Source organism: Homo sapiens, chromosome 16 (assembly GCF_000001405.40).
Source record: "Homo sapiens chromosome 16, GRCh38.p14 Primary Assembly".
NCBI lineage: Eukaryota > Metazoa > Chordata > Mammalia > Primates > Hominidae > Homo > Homo sapiens.
The window spans coordinates 55,947,777-55,974,659 of NC_000016.10; the positions used below are offsets into that span (position 1 = coordinate 55,947,777).

At 42.1% G+C, this 26,883-nt stretch overlaps 1 protein-coding gene across 1 annotated transcript in view, besides 1 other annotated feature; it reads right to left on the reverse strand.

The window, feature by feature from the left end:
* CES5A (carboxylesterase 5A) overlaps nucleotides 1–8,255 on the reverse strand; it is a 109,878-nt gene extending 101,623 nt beyond the window's left edge. Inside the window, exons 1-2 of the mRNA NM_001190158.1 lie at nucleotides 8,068–8,255; nucleotides 2,009–2,126 (exon numbers count right to left, since the gene is read on the reverse strand). Of these exons, the coding sequence (NP_001177087.1) occupies nucleotides 2,009–2,126; nucleotides 8,068–8,109 (160 nt within the window). The 5' untranslated portion in view covers nucleotides 8,110–8,255. The remainder of the gene's footprint in view (nucleotides 1–2,008; nucleotides 2,127–8,067) is intronic.
* Nucleotides 6,207–6,376: an enhancer, noted in NCBI's record as "experimental_43482 CRE fragment used in MPRA reporter constructs". NCBI's record gives its function as "activates a minimal promoter by MPRAs in K562 erythroleukemia cells, with activity observed for both the introgressed and non-introgressed 16:55987980 variant alleles {active_cell/tissue: K562}" and the evidence as "EXISTENCE:reporter gene assay evidence [ECO:0000049][PMID:34662402]".
* Nucleotides 8,256–26,883: the final 18,628 nt, after the last annotated feature.

A 26,883-nucleotide genomic window follows, 5' to 3' on the forward strand; every position in this document is an offset into this window, starting at 1 on the left:
CAGGAACAAGCTTGCCATGGACTGGAGTGAGCAAAGGGGACATAGTGGTAGGAAAGGTCAGCAGGACAGCAGGGGAGGGCCAGGTCATAAACAGCCTTGGGGGCCATGGAAGGGCTGGGAGTTTTGATTAAAATGGGATGGAAAATATTGGAGAGCGCTGAGCCAAGGAGACACACGAATGGACTTTGGTTTTAAAAGATCCTTTTCACTGCTGTGTTGAGAATAGATTGTAGGAGCTAAGAGTTTGGAACCTGAGAGCCTGATTAGGTGGTATAAACCAAAAAAAAAGAAAAAAGAAAAAGAAAATGTAAAAGAAGAAGTGATGTCGATCAATTTAGAGGTTGATTTTGCCCAGGTTGAGGACGTGCCTGGGATAAAGAGACACAAGCCACAATAGGATCTGTGGCTCATACTTTTTCCAAGGATGATTTTAAGGGCTTCAATATTTAACAGGGAAAAGATGGGCAGGCCGAGAAAGGAGGGAAAAAAAAGAGGGAGGATATGGTCACATTTTTCTGAGGCTTTGATTAGCACTCACTGAATCCACATGTTTCATGTGAAAAGGAGGGGGCAGAGGAACAGTCAATTATGCATCCGTCTCACGCTCAGTTAATCTGCACTTTACATAAGATAAAGTAAACACAGTACAGGAAGAAGTCGAATATAAATTCATCTCGGGGTAGGCGGTGGAAGGGGGGTAAAATTTCTAGTCTCCTCTTGTCCTGTACCATAAAGATAAGCTGTTAATTTACATTGTCAGGGTGAGGGAGGCCCCCTGGGGAAATTTGTGGCCTTCTATCTTGTAGCTATCTATTTATGAACAAAAGAAAAGGCAAGTTTTTTGCATGATTTGGTTTCCAAGCTTAACTTTTCCCTTGACATGCTGAGTTGAGGGTCCCAAGATTTTATTTTCCTTTCACAGTGACAATTGCTGTAATCCAAGCTAGGGATGGTGATGGTGGCTGGGACCTAGGGGTTGGCATTCCAGGTGGTGAGAAAGGGTCAAATTTAGGATCAATTTGGATGGTAAAGCTAAGCAGATTCCTTGATGAATTAGATTAATGTGGTGTTAGAGTTTGAGGTCAGAAATGACTCCAAGATTTTTGTCTTGACTGACTGAATAGATGTAGTTGCCATTTTCTGAGTTGGGGACAGTTGCAGAAGGAGCGGATTTGGGTGGGCAAATCAAAATACATGTGTAAGGGGCCGTTGCCTCCCCATACTTTCTGGCTGGCCATATGCAGCTCCTTTCCCCAATCCCAGGGCAGGTTTAAAGGTTTCTGTAGCCAAATATAGCCACAATAGTGCTTTGCTCTGATACACGTAATAATTCTCAGTAAATGCTCAATCATAGGTTGGGATCCACAGGAAGCAGACCCTGAGATGAAGTTTAGCAGGCATGAGGTTTATTAGGGTGTTGATCTTGGGGTCACTGCCAGCGTAATGAAGGGGAGGAGGCAGACTGGGAAGAGGGAGACAGTGAGCTGCAATGCAGTGCCAGAGAAGCATGGGGAGTTCTGAAGATGAGGTGATCCTTCGGAACTGCCTGAGTTGGGGCAGAAGGCTGAGAAAGTGGGCTGCTGGCCGCCAGGGGCAAAACCATTCTTTTATCTGAGGCAATCCCCAAAGGGGAGATAGCTGCAAGCTGTACCACTGCCAGCAGTTGGGGAAATATGTCCTTCATTCCTAGAAGCTGATCTAGGTGGCACATCACAATGCCCACCACATCCCCTCATGCCAGACACAAAGAAGCAGGCTGATTTCTTTATGTCCATCTCTTCTCCTGCACTAATAATTCAAGGCTGGTCAGCAAATGGCAAATCCATCTGAGTTCCCAAGCTTTCCAACCAGAGGTGAGGCAGGATAAGAACATCTTGACAATGAAAATAAACACAAAGGGAATTCCCGGTGGAAGTATGCCACCAATGGAACCATGGACTGTGAGTCAGCTGTTGGCCAGACTCAAGGGGCAGACCCAACCCTGGTAAATTCTTGTCAAACAACTCACCCTCATCTTTGGAAGTGTAGTTTAAGACATCAATCCTCAATACATACAAAGTTGAGGAGGCTGGATAAAAATAGTAAACCAGGCACAATCTCCACATTCCCCTTCTTATCCTAAACTCCTGGAAAAAAAGAAATAATAATAATAATAAACATTGATGATAACAATAATATAAATAAAATATAATATAACCAATACAGCATATAAGTAAGAATATAACAACATATAATAATAAAAATCCATAACAGTGTAGGAAAAAAAGAAGGGGTACCCACAGTAGATGAAAAAGTTAGGAATGCCTGAAAGGGGAAAGGCAGATGGAGAAGACTGAAGAAAGAAACCACATCCCAATAGCACAAAGGAGAGACCTGCTACAAGAAATGGAGGAGCACCAATGTCCAAGGCAGCAGGAGCACCCAAGGATGATTGACAGGATGATTGGTTGGGGTTCTGAAGAAAATCAACCTCGTGAAAGAAAAGTCCTAAATTTAACCATCTGAAGACTAAATTGGACATGAAGAACTAAATTTAACAAACTGAAGAACTACATCCCCATGGAAAGAATAGAATCAATAAGAAAATACTTTATAAAAGTCTAATTAGTATTCTCATGCAAGGGAATGTAGCACACATACAAAATTATCAGATGAAGGTCTTGGAAATTACAAACTTGAGTACTGAAATTTTAAAAAATCAATATATGAACTGAATATCAGAATAGATAAAAACTAAGAGAAAATGACTGAACTGGAAGATTCAACCAAGGACTTTTCCCAGAAACAGAACACACAAGGAAACACAGATGGAAGTTAAGAAAAAATGAAAGAGAAATGGAAAATAATTCCAACAGCATGAAAATCCATTTAACAGGAATTCCAGAAATTGGAAATAAGAGGCATGAAGGAGAAGAAATAATTGAGGCAAAGAAAAAAAAACCCAAAAAACGATGGAAGTCTTTAGATTGAAAAAAAAGATAGAAGTCTTTAGATTGAATGGATCTATCAACTGCAGAGTAAGTAAATAAAAAGACCCACACTTGGCCGGGCACGGGTGGCTCAAGCCTGTAATCCCAGCACTTTGGAAGGCCAAGGCAGATGGATCACGAGGACAGGAGATCGAGACCATCCTGGCTAACACGGTAAAACCCCATCTCTACTAAAAATACAAAAAATTAGCCAGGCGTGGTGGTGGGCGCCTGTAGTCCCAGCTACTCAGGAGGCTGAGGCAGGAGAATGGCATGAACCTGGGAGGTGGAGCTTGCAGTGAGCCAGGATTGCGCCACAAACTACACTCCAGCCTGGGAGACAGCGAGACTCCATCTCAAAAAAAAAAAAAAAAAAAAAAAAAAAGACCCACACTTAAGCTTTTTTTGGAAACATTTACAAGGAAGAAGAGAAAATTCTTCCAACGAACAAAACAGATTAATCAACTTTGGCTGCCATAGCAAAATACCACAGACTGGGGAGTTTAAACAATGGAAATTTATGTCCTCACAGTTCTGGAGGCTGGGGAAGAAAGAGAGTAATAGGAGAAAGTAAGCAGTAAAGAAATAAAAGTTTTTAATATTTTTTGCTGGGAGGATTTAGGAAGTGATTGACTCTAAATATCAATATGTCTCTTAAAATGCATCAATGCATCAATCTATGCATTAGCAATAAAAAATAGGTTGAATAATTTCCAACTATTATAGAAGAAAAAATGAAATGAGAAGTCATTTAAATGGAAAATCTTAGATTTAGAAACTAACATCCAGATACATGCTGCTTGTAAGATACACCTAAAGCAAAATGAGACAGAGAGGTTAAAAATAGAATACTGGAAATAGCTATGTTGTGCGAATTCTAAGAAAAAGAAAGCCAAGTTGTAATAATATCAAACAAAATAGAGCTCAAGGCAAAGAACAATGAAAGAAAGTAGGGGGATGGAGTATCCATGTTGATAAAATATAACATCAATAGAGACGATATCTCAGCCATGAACTTTTATGCACCCAATAACTTAGCTTCAATACAGAAAGCAAAAACTGAAGGATATACACAGAGAAAGTGTTAATCTACAATCATGGTAAGAGACCTTATTATTCATCTCTCAGAAATCACCCAATCAAATAGCTGTGGATCAGGGACAGTTAGAGAGAGTCTGAAGAACATACATATTAAAATTTTACAGTGTGATCTAATAGACATAGATGTTAAGAAGAGGAGACTTCATTATTTTCAGTCACACATGGAGCATTCAAAAAAAATTACTCACGTAGTAGGCCACAAAGGAAACCTCAACAACTTCATTAGAAAGAAGTCAGACAGGTTACCATCTGGGACAAAATGTAATAAAATTAGAAATTAATAACAAAAAATGGCCAAATAATTCTATGCACCTGAGCATGCTAAATACTTTGAAAATAACTCTTAGGTTAGCAAAGAAAAAAGTATTACTATTTAGAAATGAATAACAAGGAGAGGCCATATATCAAAAACCTGAGATATATACCTAATTCATGAAAATTTATAGTCTCAAATAAAGTTCTTAGAAATGAGGAAAAAATGAAAGCAAAGTCAATAAGCTCTTCAGTTCAAGAAGTTAGAAAGAGAAAAACAAAATAAGCTCAGTGAAATTAGAGGAAGATATTAATAAAGATAAAATGCAAAAATTAACTAGAACACAAAAAAATCAATAGTATAGATCAATAAAACTAAAAGCTGTTTCTTTGAAACTATCAATAAATTAGAACAGCCTGTGGCAAGACCGAGTGTGAGAATAGAGTGAGTAATGGTCACAAAAATAACAACATTAAGAAGTAATAGAGACATAGTATACAAAGCACATTTCAAATTAAAGAGAATTTAGACCAAAACATTTCAAAATCTAATGAATGAATAATTTCCTGGGAAACAATAAATCACAATAAACAATAAATAATAAATGTCAACAATTGGTTCAAGAAGAAAATCATGGAAGACCAATAATCATATAAAAATTAAAATAGTAATTTAAGATCTACCCCCACTAAAGTGCACCAGAGTAAGAAAGTTTATGGTCAAGTTCTAGCAAACATTCAAAAAATCCATAATCCCATGTGATATACTATGCAGGGCATGGAAGAAGATAAAAACTACTCTAACTCGTTCCATGTGGCTACCATAACCAAATACCAAAAGTGGGCAAGGAAAACATGGATGAAAGGAACAAGCCAATATTGTTTATGAGCAAAGATACAAAAATTCTATCTAAAGTATTAGAAAGTCAAAACTAATAAGGTATTAGGAGCAAAAAACGGAAGAATAGTCCAACATTAGAAAGCAATTGATGTTCCTCACTAGAGTAAAATCATCTCAATAGATACTGTCAACTGATGCTAAAATTTAATGTAATTTAACAACAATTTCTGATTAAAACAACAAATTCAACTTGTAATGTTTTTATACAATAGACCCACAGTGTACATCGTAGTTATGGTAAAATATCAGAAACAATCCTTTTAAAATCAGAAACCAGGTAAAGATGTCTATAATCACTATTACTTTTCAATATTGCTCTGAAAGCTTACGTAAAGACAAGAGAAGAAAATAAGAAATGTAACTCTGAAGAGAAAGAGACAAAACTGTTAGTATATGCAGTCAGTATAACCATCTGTCAGAAAAATCCACAAGAACCAAATGTGAGTTAAACAAGTTGACTAGATATAAAATCAACACACAAAATTAATAATTTTAATGTACCACAGCAATGACTATGTAGAATATATATTTTATGACCCTATTCACAAAAGGAAAAAAAAACCTGAAAAATACCTCAGGCAAATTTCATAAGAAATGTCAGCAGAAGTGGTATAAAGAGTTAGGATGTGAAGGGAAACCTGGTTGTGATGTTACTAGGTGGAGTAGAGCTTAAATACCTGGTTTTGTTTGTTTTGCTTTTTAGTTTTTCTTATTATTTTGCTTCAAATGGTATTTTATTTTAAAATTCTTAATTATTATGGGACATAGTAGATGTATATATTTATGGGGTACATGTAATGTTTTGATGTAGGCACGCAATGTGTAATAATCACATCGGGGTAATTGGGGTGTCCATCACCTCAAGCATCTGTCAGTTATTTGTGTTAGAAACATTCCAATTCCACTATTTTAGTTATTTCTAAATACACAATAAATTACTGTTGACTATAGTCAGCCTGTTGTGCTATCAAATACTAGCACAAATTCATTCTATTTAACTATATTTTTGCACCCATTAATCATCCCCACTTTTCCCCTGCTCCCCGCTGCCCAAGCCAGCCTCTGGTAACCATCATTCTACTCTCTATCTCCATGAGTTCAATTGTTTTAATTTTTAGCTCCCACATGTGAGTGAGGACATTCAAAATGTGTCTTTCAATACCTGCTTTTTAGGTTCTATTTCCCTTCCAACAGAACCAAGCTCAGATAGCAAAGGCCAAAATCAAACACCTGCCTGTTGATCCAAATGTGCCAGGCTTTGCAGGTTCGGTATTTCATTAGCAATTAAGAAAATAACTTTTCCAGAAGCAGAATGCATTGCATGCATTGGAAGCAAAGGGAAGGCAGCAGAAAGAAAATTTGAGGAAAATGGAAAACAAAGCCTGGAGACACGCTAAAGCTTCTCATAGTCGGTCCTGACCGAGGTGAAGCTCAGGAGCGGGAGAGGAGAGGTCTCTCCCCCTACACATGCCCCAAAAAACCAGGGTGGCCAAACAGATGGTGAAGAACATTTTTAAACCACTTTTAACACAGTAACTTTTTTTTGCCTGCTTGCTCTTTATTCCTTTAGTCAAAAGTCTTACCAGCTGTCACCATCTCAAGGAAAATGTCAGAGGCTTGTGGCTGCCTGTGCCTCTCCTCAGCTTGGTGCGGGAGAGAGGTGTGGAACCTCAGCCAGCCACAGTCCTGGCTGCAGAACTGCTGAAGTGGCCAAGGATAGGGGGAAGGCCCCTCACAAAAATGGACCCACCATGGAGGCTCGCAGCCAATCTCTTCTACATACAATCCCTTCCAGGAACTAAGCATGTATACTTTCCAAAGTACTTTCCCTAGGTTCTTATATCCTCCAGACACCCCTGAGATAAATATTATTCCCATTGCATGGAGAGAGCAATGGCAAAGCCTGGCTTCTAGCTTTGCAATCTACCACCTGTGGATTCTTGGAAAAGTTCCTTTTCTTCTCTGGACCTTAGCTTCTCCGCATGCACAAGGAAATTGTCCAAATGTCCTCCAAAGTTGCTTCCAACTCTAAAGCTCTGATGCATTGTCTAATACCAGTTAGACATCCCTGATCCTCCTCTCTGAATGACAGTTCTGGCTGCTGCTTCCCTGACCCCTTCCTTCTGCCCCAGGGAGAGCTCAGTGTACACCAAAGAAATCAGAACATGAGAACCGCAAGAGGCTACCAAAGTCACTTCCTTAACTTTTTTTTCCCTTCTTTTTCAAATACCAATAAGTAACTTCTTTAAAAGGAAGCCAAGTAGGGCTGTTAGTTTCCTGTTGAGTCAAAAAAAAATTTTTTTAATAAGTAATTTGCTGAAACTAATCCCCCCCATCTTTTAAAAATCACACAGTTAAACTGATTTAAAGAAACCTTTAAAGATGCATTTAAATTTTCTTTCCTCCTTGTTTAACTATATAATTGTTTTCACTCACAGTAATATTCTCTTGGAGGCATATGCTTGACTTATTTAATAAATCTTTCTCCACATTTGAAATCATCCATTAGCAATAAGGAGCTTGACGCTCCATTACCCACAATAAATTTCACTGCCATTAAATCGCCACATGCCGCATGGAGGAAAGGAGATACCAGTATGGCCTCTCTAAGACAGGGCAGAGTCAGAGCTCAGCATGGAGCCTGCTCTGAGCCTGCCTCTCAGTTCCTTAGCCCAGCCCTGGGTTCTCCTGGCAGTCAAGGTATCCATCTAGCCTACCGTGGGGGCTGACCCAGAGAGACAAAGTTGGGTGGGTAAATTTGCATCTAATCTAAGGCTCATCTTTCTCATTCCAGTGGGTTTGGGGGTGGGGTCCAGGCAGTAGCACCCTGTGGCTAATACTCACCTTTAGGCCATGGCATGAAGCAGGGCAAACCAGAACAGCCATCAGACTTGCCCTTGGTCCTAACACAAAACCTCAGCATCCCAGCTGGCCTTGACACAGAGCCCCAGTCCTCTTGCACATCATGTACATGGTACAGCTGATAAAGAAAAGTCAAATGAGTTCACCACTTTCCTCTACCGTTGCCAGCTGGCTGCATTCTCAGGGGACACTGAAGCTCAGCTTGCAAGCTGATGACGTCTCTGCTTACCACCAACGGGCAGCTCCAGCGTGGAGAGAAAGAAAGAAATCATTGACTGGGAGGACCTCAGAATCAGAGCTGAAAGAGACCTCAGAGGCCATTGATTCCAGTTCTGAAGCTTTGGTATGTCAGCATCACCTTGGGAGCTTGTTAAACGTACTCATGTCCAGCCCCACCACACACCAAGGAAATTCTAACTCAGAAGATCTGGGTGGGCCTGGGTGTCTGAAGCCTCAAGAGCAGCAAATGCTGATGCATCCCAGATTTTTAAAAACCAGTGATTTGGCCTCCAGTTTCTCAACACTGGCTATAAAATGTAATGAGCTGGGACCAGGCGTGGTGGCTCATGCCTGTAATCCCAGCACTTTGGGAGGCCAAGGGGGTGAGATCACTTGAGGTCAGGAGTTCGAGACCAGCCTGGCCAATATGGTGAAACCTTGTCTCTACTAAAAATACAAAAATAAGCTGGGCATGGCGGCGCACACTTGTAGTCCCAACTACTCAGGAGGCTGAGGCAGGAGAATCGCTTGAACCCAGGAGGCAGAGGTTGCAGTGAGCCGAGATTGTACAGCTGCACTCCAACCTGGGCAACAGAGTCTCGCTCTGTCTCAAAAAACAAACAAACAAAAAACCCAAAACCAATGTAACGAGCTGGGGAAGGTTTAAAAATACCAATTCCAGGGCCTCATGCTACCCTGACTAATCAGGATTTCTGGCTATAAGCCCCAGGCATCAGAATTATTTAAAAGCTCCCCAAGAGATAACTATAGGCCATGAGGATTGAAAACGACTATCTGGGCAGTGTTTTTCCCTTACAGAAGGGAACTAAGGCCCAGAGAGGGGTCGGAACGTGCCCCAAGTCACACAGCAAGTGAGAAGGATTGCTGCATAGAACCCAGGTCTCCAGCAGTCTGATGAGAGCTCCTTGTGTGCGCCAAGGTACCTGTGAGGAAGGAACAAGTTGGGCTCAGGTCGGTTACTGGTGCCCAAGGAAGAATGCCATGCCCTGGAAATAACTGTCACTCTTCAGGGAATCAAGCACCTAGGTTGGGTCAATGTTGCTGGTCTGGGACCACACTTCTAGCAGCGAGGGTCCAGATCCCTTTTATTTACCTCCTCCTCCCTTTGGAATCCCAGTGTCCAACTGTCAAGCAACAATTCCCAGTTTTCCACAGTCTCTGCACATAGTTAGGTCATGGAAATGAATGCACTTTGTCATCTGGACCTTAGGGAGGGATGCTAAGTGTTGTGAACGAATGGCATGTTGGGTAGATCCTGCCCAGATTGTAAGTGTTCTGAGGGCAGTTCTGAGCCCCCTTCTCTTGTCTCTCTTGGATTGGGCTGAACAGTCAAAATGTGAAGCATGCCCAAGACCCTGCATGGCCTTGGGCAAGTCACTTCCTTGCAAGAATCCTATCTGTAAAACTGGGATAACTAATATTCACCTCCTAGGGTGTCATTTGGATTAAATGAGACATTGGAAGGGAAGGGCCCAGCACAGGAGGGATGTGTAAAACGTAGCTGACTGTCTCAATTTCCTTACAGAGATGCCACAAACAAGGAAGAGACACTGAACTCAGGCTGCCTGGGTCCAATCTTGCTGTTTCACTTCTTAGACCTGGGGCAAGTGGTTAACCTTTCTGGCCTTGATTTTCTCTTCTGTATGATAACAGCACATGCCACAAAGGGTTGCTGTGAAGTTTAAATTAGAAAGTGCATTTAACATGCTTAGCACAGTGCCAGGCACACAACACCGTAAGCACACCATAAACATCAGCTATTATTTTGGCTACTGTTGTTGTTACTATTGGTGCTCCAGATCCCTGGCCTCCTTTGCAATCAGCAAGGTAAATGTTGGGAGTCCTATTCCTGGTAATGGTTGGGACTTGCATGGGACTTTCCACCTTAGGAAACAGACACATCATCATTGTAGTGAGGATTGCAAAGTATGGCCATAAGCCAGAGGGAGCTGGCTGGATTTTCAGCACCCCTAGCCTGGGACTCCAGTCCTCAGGGCAACTAGACAATGGTACCCTTCACATGGCAGGAGGGTATCCCCTGTTGGTGCCTTATGGAGTCTTGTTTATGCCTCTATCAGGGTACTCGTAACATCCGAGTTCAATCATTGTCTTGCCCTCCAACAAAGACCCCAGAATCCAGGGCCAGGCCTTTTTCAGCTGTGTGTCCCTTTTGAAGCCCGGGAAGCAGTAGGTTCTCTAGAATATTTACTGGATAAATGAATGAGTGAGCTAATGAATTCATATTGGAAATTTTTTTGAATTTAATAATCCTAAAAATCTTATTACCCTTTTTGGAGTTGAGCAGTGTGCTGGAGCCCCACTAACAAAGAGCAGGATCTACTACTTATCTCAAGACAGCCAGACCCATCCAGGATGGGGACAGTTTGGGAAGAAAAGGGAGCCCACAGGATAGAGATTTTCTGCTGGCAAAATTCTCTAATTCCATGTCTGGACCAGGAAAATTTCTCTGATGCTCTTGGAAGTACAGTATGGAAACTGTGGAGGGGGTTCCTGGAAGGAAAGTCAGGAGGAAGCCTAGAAGGGTAGACTCTGTCCTAGACCGATGTCCTGAATCCAGAGCCTCCAGACCACAGAACATTGGTCTTATGAATCAGAGTGAATGCTACCATTTGACTTTGCTTCACCATCACACAAAAGCTTGAATTTCCACTAAAACTGCAATTTAATACTTTAACATAGGGACTCCTCTACCCTAGCAGTGGTGCTGAGTTCCAACCCATTTATTTCCCCAAAATGGGCAACATAAGCTCCTTAGAAACATTTCAGATGGTCCCAGCACCGCACAGATGGGGAAAGCAACCAAGAGGAGTTTTGCATTGCCAGGAGTATTGATGGTTGGAATGCAATTGCTTTTGCAGTGATTCAGGAGCATGCTATGTTGCAAATGAACAGAAACCTGTAACTCTTGCATGATTAGGTCACTTAACTTAGTAAAAGATAGTGTCATCTACCTCCTTGTCTTCTCCTTTAGAATAACAGAAGGTCACAAGACTTAAAATAGACCCATAAAAGCCAAAGGTAAGTAGATAATCAAAAGAAATGTGGTAAAGTTGGTTTTCTATTGCACTGTGCACTGAGCATGAGGCAAGAGCAAAATTAATGGGCTCAAGCAAAGTTTAAATGGAGGTAGACATCTCTCCAACCTTAAGGGCTATAGGGATTTGTGAAGGTGAGAGATGTCCTTGAAATTAGTTTCACCTCTGCCCAGGCTCCTTGGAACAGAGACCATGTCACTGTCAGATTCATGTTACCATCACCTGATACAGTATTGCTCCCCTGGCCCATAAGAGGTGTTCGATATGTGTTTGATGAGTCTCCAGGATGGTGTAGAAATTACTCATAATTGAAAGAAGACTATGTTGAAAAAGAGAGAGAAGCTTTGCCAGAGGTCAACAAACTATAGCCTGTGGGCCAAACCAGCCTCAAACCATTTTTGTGCAGCTCACAAGCTAAGAATGGTTTTGACATTTTTAAATAGTTGGAAAAAATCAAAAGAAGAATATTTTGTGACAAGCAAAAATCATCAGTGTCCATAAGGTTTTATCAGAACACAGCATATTATTGATAGCTGCTTTTGTGTGTTACACTGTGAGAGTTGAGTAGTTGATATAGAGACTATATGGCCCACAAGGCCCCAAAAAATTTACCACAGGGTCTAATCCTTTACAGGCTTAATCCTCCTGTTCTAAACCTTTAAAATTGGTGAAGAGTTGGGGGAGAGTGAGATACACACACACACACACACACACAGAGAGAGAGAGAGAGGAAGGGAGAGAGAGAGAGAGTAACTTGGTAGCAGCGAAAACTGCTTAACAACCAGAATGCATTAGTCAGCTTGGGCTGCAACAACAAATTGCCATAGACTTGGTGGCTTAAACAACAGACATTTATATTCTCATGATTCTGGAGGCTGTGAAGTCCAAGATCAAGGCACCAGCAAATTCAGCATGTGGTAAGGGCTTACTTCTTGGCTTACAGATGGCCATCTTGCCCAGATCTTCCTCAGATGTCAAACAGGAGAGAGAGAGAGCACAAACACAAACCCACTCTGGTGCCTCTTTGTGTAAGGACACCAACCCCATCATGAGGGCTCTACCCTGATGATCTCATCTAAACGTAATTACCTTTCAAAGACTCCATCTCCAAATACCATCACATTGGAGATTACAGTTTTAACATATGGATTTGGTGGGGGTGGGGGGATACATTCAGTCCACAGTACAGAGTTATTAAAAAATGATATATGTAGCCTTGAAAAGAAGTGTTTTCTCTCACTGGAAGTGTCTGCAGATAGGCACGCACTTCTCAGAGATGCTTTTAGAAGTTTCAAGAATTAGGACAGGGAGCAGGCAGATGATCTTTAAACCCCTTCCAGCCCTGAGGTGTCCAGAGTTTATGATTCAGACACAATTGAGGCCAGAAGGTGCCAAGGTGACTCTCTGGTCTAGGGGTCTCTTATGCCTTTGGGTTTCACATCACGTTCTCCCTGCTCTGCCTGTCCTATGGGAAGCTTTTCTAATTACAATAAGCTGGAGGATCCACTGAAGATCATTCATCTATCCATCAGGTAGGCATAGCCAGAGATACTGGACTGTAAATTCTGAATGTATTTGTTAAACCTAAGTGATAGCAGTTGCTGACAAGGGGAAAGTAATTTCTTTATTCACCAAGTCTCAAAGCTTTTGATATGAGTCAGTCTTCAAACATAAAGGTGACTTTGCAGTTGCAGATGGTTTTCTGTGGCTTTTTCTCTATGGGACCACTATTTCTCATTTGAAGCCAGAAGAGACTGATGTACTTGCAGTTCCAGCCTTCCATCTCAAAGGGCTCTATAAGCCATCTTAACTTCAAAATTTTCCTTTTGGTATCAACACAGGCTGGATTTGGGGTTAGGCATTGTAGTGGAGATAGGCATGGAAGCTGTTCTTTTGTTTGTTTGTTTTTGGTTTGCGACAGCATCTCACTGTTGCCCAGGCTGGAGTGCAGTGGCATGATCTTGGCTCATTGAAACCTCTGTCTCCTGAGTTCAAGTGATTCTCCTGCCTCAGGCTCCCAAGTAGCTGGGATTATGGGCCTGTGCCACTACACTCAGCTAATTTTTTTGTATTTTTAGTAGAGATGGGGTTTCACCATGCTGGCCAGGCTGGTCTCAAACTCCTGACCTCAAATGATCCACCTGCCTTGGCGTCCCAAAATCCTGGAATTATAGGCATGATCCACCACACCTGGTGAGGCTGTTCTTTAATCCTCTTCTACCTAATGAATAGTCATTGATGTGGGCAAATGAGGGAAAGCCACAGAAGAGAGCAAAGAGCAGGCTGAGCAGCTCACCAGATAGCTCAGAGTAACCCTGGGGAATCCAAGTGGCTGGAGAAGAGGCTGATGTGGTTTAAAATTTTTTCTGTCATTTCGGATGGTGTAAGAGTCAGGTTTTACTGTAATAATGCTGTGTAACAAATAATCCCAAAATCCTAATGGTTCACAATATTAAGCATTCATTTCATACTCATGGGTCAACTGCAGTTTGGCTGTTCTCAGCTAGGTTTAGCAGAGCTCCACAAACTAGACTAGACCCATGCTTTGGGATGTTTCAGATCTCTTCTCTGTGTCTTCCCTCAGGATGGCACATGTTCTCATAATGCAGAGCAGAAGCTACAAGGGAGCTGGAAGAAACTCACTTAAGGTCTCAGCTTGGAATTTGCACTATGTCACTTTTGCCCACATCCCATTGGCCAAAGCAAACCATATGACCAAGCCCAAAATCAATGGTGCAGGGAGGTATACTAGAGCTATGGATAATCCATGGCTAGGACATAGAGGAAAGAAAGAATTATGGAGAAATAATACATCTAACACAGGGGGTGACCTCATTTCCCTTTACTTCACAAACTTTGCTGAAATGCTACAAGAAAATCAAGATCCTTTTCCAGACTCATTTAATAGGGCTCAAGGATTATAAAGAAATTTTGGTTTGAGATGGAAAGCATGAGGGTACAGACCATTATTCTGAATACCATTGGTCTCATGGATCCCAGGAGATACAGAAGTTTATGGGTGTTGGGGCTGAATCCTCTAGAACTTAAAGAAAAAAACACCAAGCCCACATGAATGCAGTTTCTCCTATCTCCACATCCTTTAAAGACTCTATTTAACCAGTTAGTCTGCTTGCAGTTCACCAAGATTGTATCCTGTAAGTGTTTTCACCATCAGTTAACATGTGATAGATTATTTCTGAATACCCAGGATAATGATAAGCTAAACAAAAAAGTATGGTCCTTTTTATGCGCTTGCTTCTTAACAGTTTACAAAATGTTTTTACCTACATGATCTCCTTTAACACTAACAACCATCCTTCCAGGTAAACAAAAGGAACACAACAAAAGGAAGATAACTCCATTTTAAGGAGGTTTTAAAAAGGTAAATGATGTGCCCAACTTCACAGGCAAGTATTAAAGATCTGGGACTGGAGATGAGATTTCCTAACCCCTGGCCCTCTCTCCCTGCTCCTCTCCAGCCACACCCACCTCTGTGATTTTCCTTGGGCACCACAATCGTGCTTCCCTCTCAAGGTATTTGCACCTTAAGCTCCCTCTGTCTAGAATGCCGTTCCTCCAAATAGACCAGGGGTTGACTTTCTCACTGTGTTCTGTTCTCTGCTCGATTGTGCCAACTTCAGAGGTGTCTGAGCACCCTGCCTACAATTATGCATCTCATTACCCTCTATGCTTTTGCTGTCCTTTGCTTTTCTGCATAAGGTTCATCACTCTGTGACGATACATTCTACACGAAGATGTCTGCTTATGTATTATCTGTCTCTCTTCTGAAATGGGAGCTTCACAAGGGCAGGAAGCTTGTCTATTCACTGCAGTATCTAGCGGCACCCTGAAATAGGAGTTGTATATGGCAAATGCTTAGTAAATATTTCTTGAATGAATGAATCAATGAATGGAATAAATGAGTAAATTAGCTTTAGTACTTTCTGTCTCCAGACATAACCCTCTCTGACGCCTCACCTATGGTAGGTGCCAAACTTTGCCAGAACTGTCTATGAGCTTCATTCGACCTTTAAGAAGAACTGAGCCCCAAGACACTATCAACGATGTTCCAACCCCACTTCAGGCCCTTCCAGTGGCTGTTCTGGCAACACTGTATGATCAGCAGCCTGGATCAGAGGTTTGAGGAGCCAAGCCAGAGTTCTGGAGGACCAGCATCTTGCATCCCTGGAGCAGAGGTCTTGAGACAAAGTCCTGGCAACTAGCATCTGCACCAGAAGCATGTGATAGGCTGGATTAATGCTCTAGGATCTCTTCATAAGCATGGCTTCCTTAAGCCAGTTTGCTACTTGGCTTCAGTCCCCAAAAGGCTCCTGCTAAGAGACCCCACTAACCCTGAGGATTTCCTTGATCACAGGAAGTACATAATCTTGTTTTGTCCCAGGCCCATCCTGTTGAAAGCAAATGAAGACCCACCTTGACCACCCCATGCAGTGGGAAGAAGACCCTCTCCCCTGCCAGTGTCAGCCTTGGTCCATTAAGGGTTATTATCCCACTACTCATCAACAGAAACCCAACTCCCACCACAGAATTTTAAAGTAGAAAAGAAACACGTGTTAAATTGTCTCTATCACTATGCAAACATCAAGATGCATAACTCACATTACAAGCACAGTACATCTCACATATATGGAACTACCAGCCATGTGACCTTGGCCGGACATCAAAAGCTTTCACTTCTCAAGAGCTTCAGTATCCTTCAATATCCACAAAATGGGAATCTGTCTCAACACATTGCTAGAAAGATGCTGAGAGATGATGTTTGATTCTCTAATGTATCTCTAGTGATTTATTTAACGGGTTAGTTTAGCTCTTTCCATTTCAGTTTCCTCTGTCATAAAAATGGGAAAGCTAAATAAATACTAAAGTTCCTGCCAGCTCTAAATGTCTATAAAATGTCATCAGATTGTTCAATGAATTTGGTAAGCTTGCCAAAGATTTTATTTCTGATACAATAAAATACATAGTACATTGTAAACATTTTAATTAGTAGAACAGATTGTATAATTTACATGATGTACATTGCATTATGTCAAATACATGTGTGGTAATACACCTCAAAATTATGACAATGTGTGACCCACATAATAAAAACAACTATTCCTTCCAGTTCACACGCCCAATGCTTAATTTGATTTGGAGATAAATAAAGCACGGAAATTACCAATTGTCTCATTGTTACAGTGTTTTAAAATACCAATTGCCTTGTAAAATGGATGTGGGGACAATTTACAGCAACCCAGGCTCATCGGAGGGCAGGAAGATGCCATTTCAACAGTCTTATCCTTTCCTGATGCCTGCATTGGTCTAGATATGAGAGCAGGATGTGTCCAGCCTCCAAGGGAATGGTGTAGGATTTAGTACCACAATCTCCACCGACTTAGACCAAGAACAGCCTTGGATTTCATGGTTGGCAGATTGCAAGGCCAACAGAGGAAGAGCTTTCCAGCATCAAATTTCCACCAAAACATGAGCTCTGCAAGGCCAGGGACTGAGACTATTTGCTTACCACATAATGCTTGGCACACAACAGGTAGTCAACACTTATTTTTGGAAGGGAAGGAGCAACAAGACATTACAAAGATCCCAGAGGGGCCCAAGCCATAGGCAAGATGACCTCTTGGTGGGGATATCGCCAAGAGAAGCCTGGCATTCCTGGGGACCGGGGATCTAGGTCTTTATGAATCCTGAGTTTCCACCAAGACCTGCAAAGATGAACACAAAATGGGGAGCCGAGGAGAGAAAAGACCATCTCTCTTTCTCATTTAGGTCCAAAGAGTGATGAATGGATATGGTATTGGCTGAGTTGTACTCAGCTGGGTGATTTCTCTTCAGGAACACGGACTTTCAGAAGCAAATTTACATCTGAAGCTGGACTGCTGGTGAAATGAATAATAGAGTTCAGCCCAGGCTGGGAAAAGCATGGGCTAAACTATAAGCATGGTCTCAAGAAGAATCAAAGCTTGGCCTCTATATTAGCTTCCTAAGGCTGCCATAACAAAGCACCACACCCTGGGTGGCTTAAAACAACAGAACTGTATTCCCTCACAGTTCTGGAAGCCAGAAGTCTGAAATCAAAGTGACAGCTGGGCCTTGTTCCCTCTGAAAGGTCTAGGTAAGAATGCTTCCTTGCCTCTTTCAAGCTTCTGGTGGTTTTCATGGCATTCCTTGCCTTGCAGCTGCGTCACTCCGATCTCTGCCTCTGTCTTCATAAGGCCTTCTTCCCTGTGTCTGTGTTACTCTGTCCAAATTTCCCTCTCTTATACGGACAGCAGCCTTGGATTAAGATCTACCTTAACCCAGTATGACCTCATCTTAACTGAACTAGTTACATGTGCAAAGATCCTATTTTCAAATAAAGCCATATGCTAAGGATTCAGTGAACATGAAGTTTTGGGAGACAATATTCAACTCAGCACAGCCTCCAAGGGTTATAATGGGACACTCTCCCTGTGGGAGCTTGGCTGGGTCTCAGAGCCTAGGCACTCCAATGGCAATGTTTGCCCTTCTGGGGCTCTCAAACCCCTTCTGCCACTAATGTGCTGGCCTCAGGGGAGGGTGGCACTGTGTCTCCTTTAAACACACACACACACACACACACACACACACACACACACACACAGAGAGAGAGAGTTAGTTAGCAGACAATCTGAAGGTTCTTTTAAGTTCAGTGGGGAAGCCCTGCCATCTCCACAGAGCAGGGACCCTACAAGATCCTCACCTCCTAAAGTGACCACAAGGGTGTGGATATGGCTGAAGTCATATGAATCCAAGACAGGGAGACCACTGAAGCCAGCATCCCTGCTCCTGACCTCCCTGGATGCTCTAGCAGTCTCTGCAAGAGAGTCCTGGCCCCAGCTCCTCCCCACAGGGCTGTGGCTTGGTTCTTGTCTCCACAGACAAACCAGTAAGCCTCAGAAGGGATGCATGAGGTGTGTGTGTGTGTGTGTGTGTGTGTGTGTGTGTGTGTGTGTGTACACGTGTGCATGTGCTCAGTGCTCTCCTGGAACTGCTTAGCCCTGAGACAGCAAGGGGTTAAGGGAAAAGAGTGAGTAGAATCAGAACACAAGAGGACCTCTCCCTCCTTTCAGTAACCAGTGGAATGCTGCTCTGCCAGTTCTATGTGATTAACCTGAATTGCCTTGTCACTGAGGGATGAACAGACCTTTAAAAGCCAGCTAATGTGGCGGGTGCCTGTAGTTCCAGCTACTCGGGAGGCTGAGGCAGGAGTATCTCTTGAACCCGGGAGGCAGAGGTTGCAGTGAGCCAAGATCGCGCCACTTCACTGCAGCCTGGCGACACAGAGAGACTCCGTCTCAAAAAATAATAATAATAAATAAATTAAAGAGCCAGCTAATGTAAGATAATTGTTCCAACAAAATACAGCCTATGAAAGAGATCAGAAAAGAAAGTGGGGTTAATGGTTAATAATTATGCTGCTGAAAATCTAGGCAGCAGCTCCCAACCCCAAATATTTAGCACTGAGGAAAACTCCCAAGCGCCCACTGCTGCCTGATCCCCATGCATCTCCCAGCAAGCCTGGAGGATGAACCTTCGGGAATCACCCTCCCCACTTTATAGATGGGGATATGGATCCTTGGAGATCATAATATGGCTAGCAGGAAGTGGCTCCTTCAAGGACATCCAAAGAACCCCTTTCATTTACAGAAAATGAGGTACAGAGAAGGTGATGCATTGGAACAAGGTCACACAGCTGTTAAGATGCCGAGTCAGAATTGAACCCAAGTTTGCCTGGCTCGAAATCCAGGGCTCTTTCCACAAAACTCCATGATGATGTGGTTTTGTGGCTTGCTCAGTTTCCCATGGCTAGTGGGTAACATCACGGGGTCTTAACTGAAATGAGGGTCTTCCCCCTTCTTGTCCAGCCTCCTATCCCACTTCATACTTTTAAGACTCAAAGAGAGGATCACCTGATCACCAGCTCAGCCTTCCCCTTCTTGTTTCACTCTCACTGATGGCCACTCCAGGACCCTCCTCAAGGAGACCTGGCAGGTCCACGTGGGAAGAATGGGAGACCCCATGACTAAGCATTTATTGGAAGGACAAGTCCTTGCCTTTACTACACCACCAGTCTGTGTTCTCAAACTGGGCCAGACATTTGTTATTTTGCATCAGCTCTAAATGCTGAATAGCAGAGAAAAAGTGGGACACTTTGGAACTGGCTTTCCTCAGTGCCAACAAAGTGCCATTATTTTAACTTCATTTGTGCGGTACAAATGAGAAGGAGATAAATGTCGTGTTCCAGCCAGAGTCTATTAGTGAGTATCAACTGTAACATGGAAAGATTGTACAATCTGGCCATGTTAGAGAAGCAGAAGGAAAACTGCACCCAAGATCTTAGCTCTTACATTCCTTCTACCTGGGATTTCTGAAATGTGAAGCAAGATAAAAATGCAGACAGTGAATTACATACCTACAGCCAGTTGCCTATACTTTTTCCTCAAATTAAATACTAATTCTAGCTGGGTGACCTTGGATATGTCCCAGGTAACCTCTTGAGGTTACTAAAGTTTACCCAGTTAGAATTAGTATTTAATTTGAAGAAAAAGTATAGACAACTGGCTGGAGGTATGTAATTCACTGTGAGCATTTAATTTTAAATTTTCTCATCTGTAAATTTAAGACAATATCTGACCTGCCTGCTACACCATTTTTGTATGAGAATTAAAGAAGCAAATGCAAGGAAAATTGCAACTGTTCCATAAATGTTATTAATTATGCACTACACATAATATACACACAAAATAATTATGCAGCTAAGCAATTTGGAAGCATATTATAAGTGTGTAATTCAAAATATAATATATTGATGTTTTACATTCCTGACGTTACTTGTTTGTATAATAATCCTGTGAGATCCAATAGAAGAGAGGAAGGACTGTTTAAACCTCTATTCTTTTTGCTTCGTTTGAATACATTTTCGTTCAAATATAGAGCATGTCATATAGAGAAGTACTTGATGAATTTTTCCAAAGTGAATACATTCCTATCACCAGCAGCCAGAGTCATAATTAGGATATTATCAGCTCCTCAGAAGCTCCACACCCAACTGTTAAATTAAACTAAATTTGGCCTGAGGATATCTCCGTACTTGAGTCTTTATATAATGAACTGCAAACCTATCTTAGCAGGTAAGCTCACTGAAAGCCTAACTCAGGAGTATACTCTTGTAACAAACAGCTGAGTCTCAGCCAATCACAGCAGCCAAGCTTCAGTCAATCACAGGCGCCCCACCGATCAGGCCACGTTCAAATAAGGCAAATGCTGAGCTGTAACCAATGGAACTGCCTCTGTACCTCACTTTCCTATTCTGTCCATAAATGCTGCCTGACCCCATTGCAGGCTGGAATTCTCTGAATCTGTTCTGGTTTTGAGGGCTGTCTGATCATTATTTTGTGTGCAAATTGTTCTTTGCTCGACAAAACTCTGTTAAGTTTTAACCCACTCCCTTCAGGCTGGACTGTTTCCCCACCAGAGGAAGCCCCCAAAGGCTTCACTCCCAGGACAATAATCTATTAATCTCCATCCCCCCAACCAAAAAATCATAATAATAATAATATTTCTTCATTAGGGATTTCAAACCAAGTCTGAAAGATCTCCATGTACAAACCTGTTTAATTGACACTTTTAGTTTGTCTGAAGTTTTTCTTTTAACAGATTGATGTCAGAGTGGTGTCCAGAGTAGAACTCCAATGACCCCCCAGGAGCCCTGAGTGAAGGCAAAGGTACCCACCTGGGCCCATTGTGCCCTTTGACTTCTCACAACAGTTAGGATCATGGGTAAGTTTTCTCCCAGATTCCGAGCTCCATGAACTTGTATTTTGAGCCCTCCAAGTTTGAGTGTTTTTGATCTAGACTGGATTAGGAAGTCACAAAAGAAACAAGACTGGGCTCTTAAGGAGGCCTCAAGTATCTGACTAGGTCAGACAGAAACCAGACTGGGTTCAGTAGGTAAGGTTCCCAGAAGACAGGGAATCATGAGTTCATCTGTATCCAAGGAATCTAGAACGCCTCCATCTGGAACTCCAGCCAATTTCATGTGTAAAAACTACAGGCCCAGAACCTGTGCTTTTCTAGAGAAATGGATGAACCTTACCAAAGGTATTATAGAGTTACAGTGGTCACAGTAGGAAGTTTTAACCTGTATAATTGTTCACTTGTAAGATGCATTAGAAAAGAAGGAACCAAAAATGCCTCAAAAGCAAAGAAATGTATTTTTTATTGGTACACAGAGACTTCCAAAAAACTAAATGAATCAAAAGTTGCATCTCTAAAAGACTCCTTACAAGAGGCAAACAGGTGCCCATCTTCACAGCTACAACAATTACAGGGACCACACACACACACACACAAGGCAAAGGTACATATATATACGTGTGTGTGTGTGTGTGTGTATATATATAAATTATTTTTTTTTGAGACAGAGTCTCACTCTGTCACCCAGGCTGGAGTGCAGTGGTGCAATCTCAGCTCACTGCAACCTCCACCTCCCGGGTTCAAGCAATTTTCCCACTTCAGCCTCCAGAGTAGCTGGGATTACAGGCACCCGCCACCACACCTGGCTAGTTTTTGTATTTTTAGTAGAGACAGGGTTTCTCCATGTTGGCCAGGCTGGTCTCGAACTCCTGACCTCAAGTGATCTGCCCACCTCTGCCTCCCAATGTACTGGGATTACAGGTGTGAGCCACTGCACTAGGCCTTTTTTTGTATATGTTTTAAATCAAAACCAAGGGGTCCCAAACTGGAGAGTTCTGTATCCCCATATGTCTGCCTTTATTATAAACAGCCAGCCCCCTGGAAAATATATTGTCCATTTTTACACCAGCCATCTGATGAACCCACTCCCTTTGGGGTGCACTGTTTTCCCACCAGAGGAAGCCCCCAAAGTCTTTGCTCCCAGGACAATAATCTACTAATCTCCCAGAATAAAAAATACTATTTTTTCATTAGGGATTTCAAGTGAAGTCTGAAATGTCTCCATGTCCAAACCTGTCTAATTGACACTTTGACCATTTTTTGGAAAATATCTGTAAGAATTAGTCCTCTTTGTTTTTCTATTTGATCCCACTTCTCCCATGGGAACCTCTCAGTCAGCTAATGCCCCTCTTCTAACCCACTGCTGACAAAGTATTCTAACAACTGTTCCCTTTTTTTTCTTGTCATGATCTTTGGTATGCCTCAGAAGTCTTTCCTGGAAAAAAAAAATAAACAATCAACTGGTCTATCATTCATCTTAAAAACAGACAGAAAAGAATGGAAGCAGTCTCTGACTATAAGGCAAGATTAGAAGTATCCATGCTGAGTCCAGGCATGCAAAATGCTTGGCTTAGTCTTCAGTGGGAACCACTCACTTAGTATTCTAGTTAAAAGACACAGGCTGAGCTGGGAAACCACCGATTTAGTCAAATTAGTCTACAAAATATGCCTTTCTGGCATAAGGACTATTTTCAGCTGGTTATTTTGAGACCCTTTTGTAAGAAAGTTTTACATCTATACAGAAAATTGTCATTTGAAAGAGTGTCTCCCTCTCTGCACTGGGAAGAGAGGGAGGACTAAGTCACTAGAAACCCTTACAATGGAGAAGGCATTGGCTTAGATTTACGTAAGACTTACCTTTGTTTAAGATGCTTTTTCTGGCCATCTTGTCTTAACTGGGCCTTAACCTATGCGCTTCTTTCTTGGTTTAGGCAAATAATAATATTTAGGCCTGAAACCTAAATGCTATGCTTTTGAGATGTAAAATTCCTACCTTGTTTTACCTAAAAGCCATCCATTAGGAAATACAAATTTAGGATAGAAAAACTTTAGATGGTTATTACAAACAAGATGAGTAAAATGGACAGTTGTGGAGTTAAAAGAAAGTTTTAATACAACACTATTGAAGGTTGGATTGACCAAAGGGAGTCCCTGCTAGTCCCCTGACATAAGGCCCCAAATCAGCCTGATCCATTTATCCAAGTTTGGAGAAAGTTAAAAAGCCAAAAAGTAGAGATAACAATGAACAACATTGCTAACAATGGCTTAGAGAATTAACCAGGCAGGTCAGTTTAGAAAAGGGCACAGGTTCTTTGCCTCAATCTCCTCACTGGAATGGGTAAAATGGTCAGGAGATTGTCAATCAAGAAAAATGTTGCAACAAGTCTCAATCATTTTAGGAGCTTTATTTGCCAAAGTTAAGGACATGCACCCAGGAGGCAGGTCAATGCCTTTCTCCGAAGATGACTTTGAGGGCTCCAAATTTAAAGGGGAAAGGGTGAGATATTAAGATGTACACAATTTTCATGTAAGAGGCAGGTGGGAAAAATAATCGTCCATGCCTTTGTCTGGCTCAATGAATCTGCATTTTTTTACATAAGACGTCATAGACAAAGGGGGCAGAGCAAAAATGCAGGGAATCTACATTTTTACATAAGCGAACATAGACAAAATGGGGCAGGGAAACAATCAGGTATGCATTTGTGCCAGGTGGGCGGCGGGGGGTGGTGGGTGACTGCACTTGTAAAGATAAGCTATCAATTTACATTGCCATGGTGAATTTTAACAGAAACACCTTAGGGTAAAGATCTTGGAACTTGCTAGGAAATTCTTTATGGGCAAAATATGGGGAAGGCATGTAGCTTTTCATTTTGTAGCCACCTTATTTAGGAACCAAAAGGAGGAGGCAGGTTTGCATAACCCAGTTCCCAGCTTAACTTTTCCCTTGGACTTAATAAGTTTGGGGTCACAAGATTTATTTTGCTTTCACAAGTTAAAGAAGAGAGATATCCTCACAATAAGTGACTTTTGGGAAGGATGAAAGGGGTCTTGGAGGAAGACATGATGGTTTGTGGCAAGGTCTGTCTGGATGGGATGAAGTCTCCTCTCCTCTGATAAAAGTTAAACTTCCCTGGTTGCTGAGACTCCCTGTGGGGAGGACTGATAACAATTAAGTTCCTCTAGGAGAATCTGTCCTTAGGCAGATAAAATGAATTCAGAAAGTCTCACCCTTCTTACCTATTGGTGATCAATACAGCAAAGCAACTTATTTTGGGGTGGTCCAAGCCCATTTTATGTTGCTATAACAGAATATCTGAGACTGGGTAATTTATAAAGAAAAGAGGTTTACTTACCTCACAGTTTTGCAGGATGGAAGTATGAGAAGCATGGCACCAGCATTCATTCAGCTTCTGATGAGGGCCATGTGCGTGGTCAAAACATGGCAGAAAAAGGGAAAGCTGACACATGTGAAAAGGTAAAACCCAAGGGGTGTCCTTGCTTTATAACAACCTGCTCTCAAGAAACTAGTCTGTTCCTATGACAGCAAGAACTCACTGACCCCTACAGGAAGGCATTAATCTATTCATGAGGGATCTGCCCCCATGACCCGAACACCTTCCACCAGGCCCCATCTCTCAACCCTGCCACATTGGGGATCCAATTTCAATATAATTTTGCCAGGGATAAACCATAGCATTCCATCCCTGGTCCCCTAAAACTTAAGTCATTCTCACATACTAGATAGAATCACTTCACTCCAATAGTCCCAAAAGTCTTAATTCATTTCAGCATCAACTCAAAAGTCCAAAGTCTCATCTGAGACTCAAGGCAAGTTCCAACTTGAACCTATACAATCAAAAAGAAGTTATTTACTTCCAACATACAATGGTGGAATGACACTGGGTACACATTTCCATTGCAAAAGGGAGAAATTGGCCAAAAGAATAAAGGAGTAACAGGCCCCATGCAGTTTTGAAATCTAGCAGGGCAGACATTAAATCTTGAAGCTCCAGAATAATCTCTTTTCACTCCACATCTCCTTCAACTACATCCTGGGTACACTGGTGCAAGAGGTGAGTTCCCAAGGCCTAAGACAGCTGACCCTCACGGCTTTGCTGAGTGCAGACCACATACCTACTCACTCTCACAGGTTGGAGTCAAATGCCTGCAGCTTTTCCAGGCCACAGTTGCATGTTTCCAGTGGCTCTATAATTCTGGAGTCCCAGTGGTGGCCCCACCCCTGCAGTACCATTAGGCATTGCCCAGGTTGGGGCTTTCTGGGATGGCTGTGTCCCTACAGCAGGTTTCTGCCTGGTCTCCCAGGCTTTCCAATACACCCTCCAAAATCTAGGTGGAAGCAGCTAAGCCTCCACAGCTCTTGCATTCTGGGCACTTGCAGACTTAACAACACATAGAAGCCCTCAGGCTTATCCCTTGCGTCCTCCAGAGCAGTGACACAAGCTGCATATGGGGCTGCTTGAGCCACAGCTAGAATAACTGCTGAACACTGTGCTGGAATTTGGGGAGCAGAATCCTGAGGCAGTGCAGGACAGCAGTGCCCCAAACCTGTGCTCCCAAATCATTCTGCCCTCTCAGGCCTCTGGGATTGTGATGGAAGACGTAGCCCGAAAGACTTCTGAAATGCCTTTAGGATGTCTTTTCCATTGTCTTGACAATTAAGGAACTGGCTTCCTTCTATCACTACTAATCTGTTTAGCAACCAGTTACTCAGCCACACCCTTGGACTCCATTCCTGAAAATATTCTTTCATTCTCTACCACATGGCCAGGCAACAAATTTTCCAAATTTTTATACTCTGCTTCCTATTTAATTATAAGCTCCTCCATTAGGTCTTTCTTTTGCTGCCATAACTGAACATAAGCTGTTAAAAGTAATCACATCTCTTCTTTAGCACTTTGCTGCTTAGAAATTTCTTCCACCAAATATGCTATTCCATTGCTCTTAAGTTTGGCCTTCCACAAAACCCTAGGACATGAACACAGTGAAGTCAAGTTCTTTGCCACAGTGTAACAAGAATGGCTTTTTCTCCAGTTCCCAATGTCTTGTTACTCATTTTCATCTGTGGCCCTATCAAAATGGCCTTTACTATCTATATTCCTATCAGCATTTTGGTCACAACCAGTTAACCAATCTCTAAGGAATTCCAAACTTTCCCTCCTCTTTTTGTCTTCTTCTGTGCCCTCACCAGAATTGTCCTTAATGCTGTATTCACTGCAATACAGTGTGTTTCTATCTTGCTCCTCCAAACACTTCCAACCTGTGCCCATCACCCAGCTCCATCCAGTTTTTATTGGTATAACAAAATATCTGAGAATGGATAATTTATAAAGAAAAAAGGATTTATTTAGCTCATAGTTCTGCAAGATGAAAGTACAAAAACATGTTTCCAGCATCTGCTTGGCTTCTGGTGAGGGCCATGTGCTGGGTCAAAACATGGCAGAAGAAGTCAAAGAGGAGGTGGACACATGCAAAGAGGCAAAACCCAAGGGGCATCCTCACTTTATAGCAACCTGCTCTCATGGAAACCAATCCATTTCTGCATTAGTGAAAATTCACCCCTGAGGGAGGGCATTAATCTATGCATGAGAGATTTGCTCCCATGGCCCAAACACTCCTGTGTCTCCACCTCCCATCACTGCTACATTGGGGATCAATGTTTTTTAAGAGACAGGGTCTCACTTTTTTG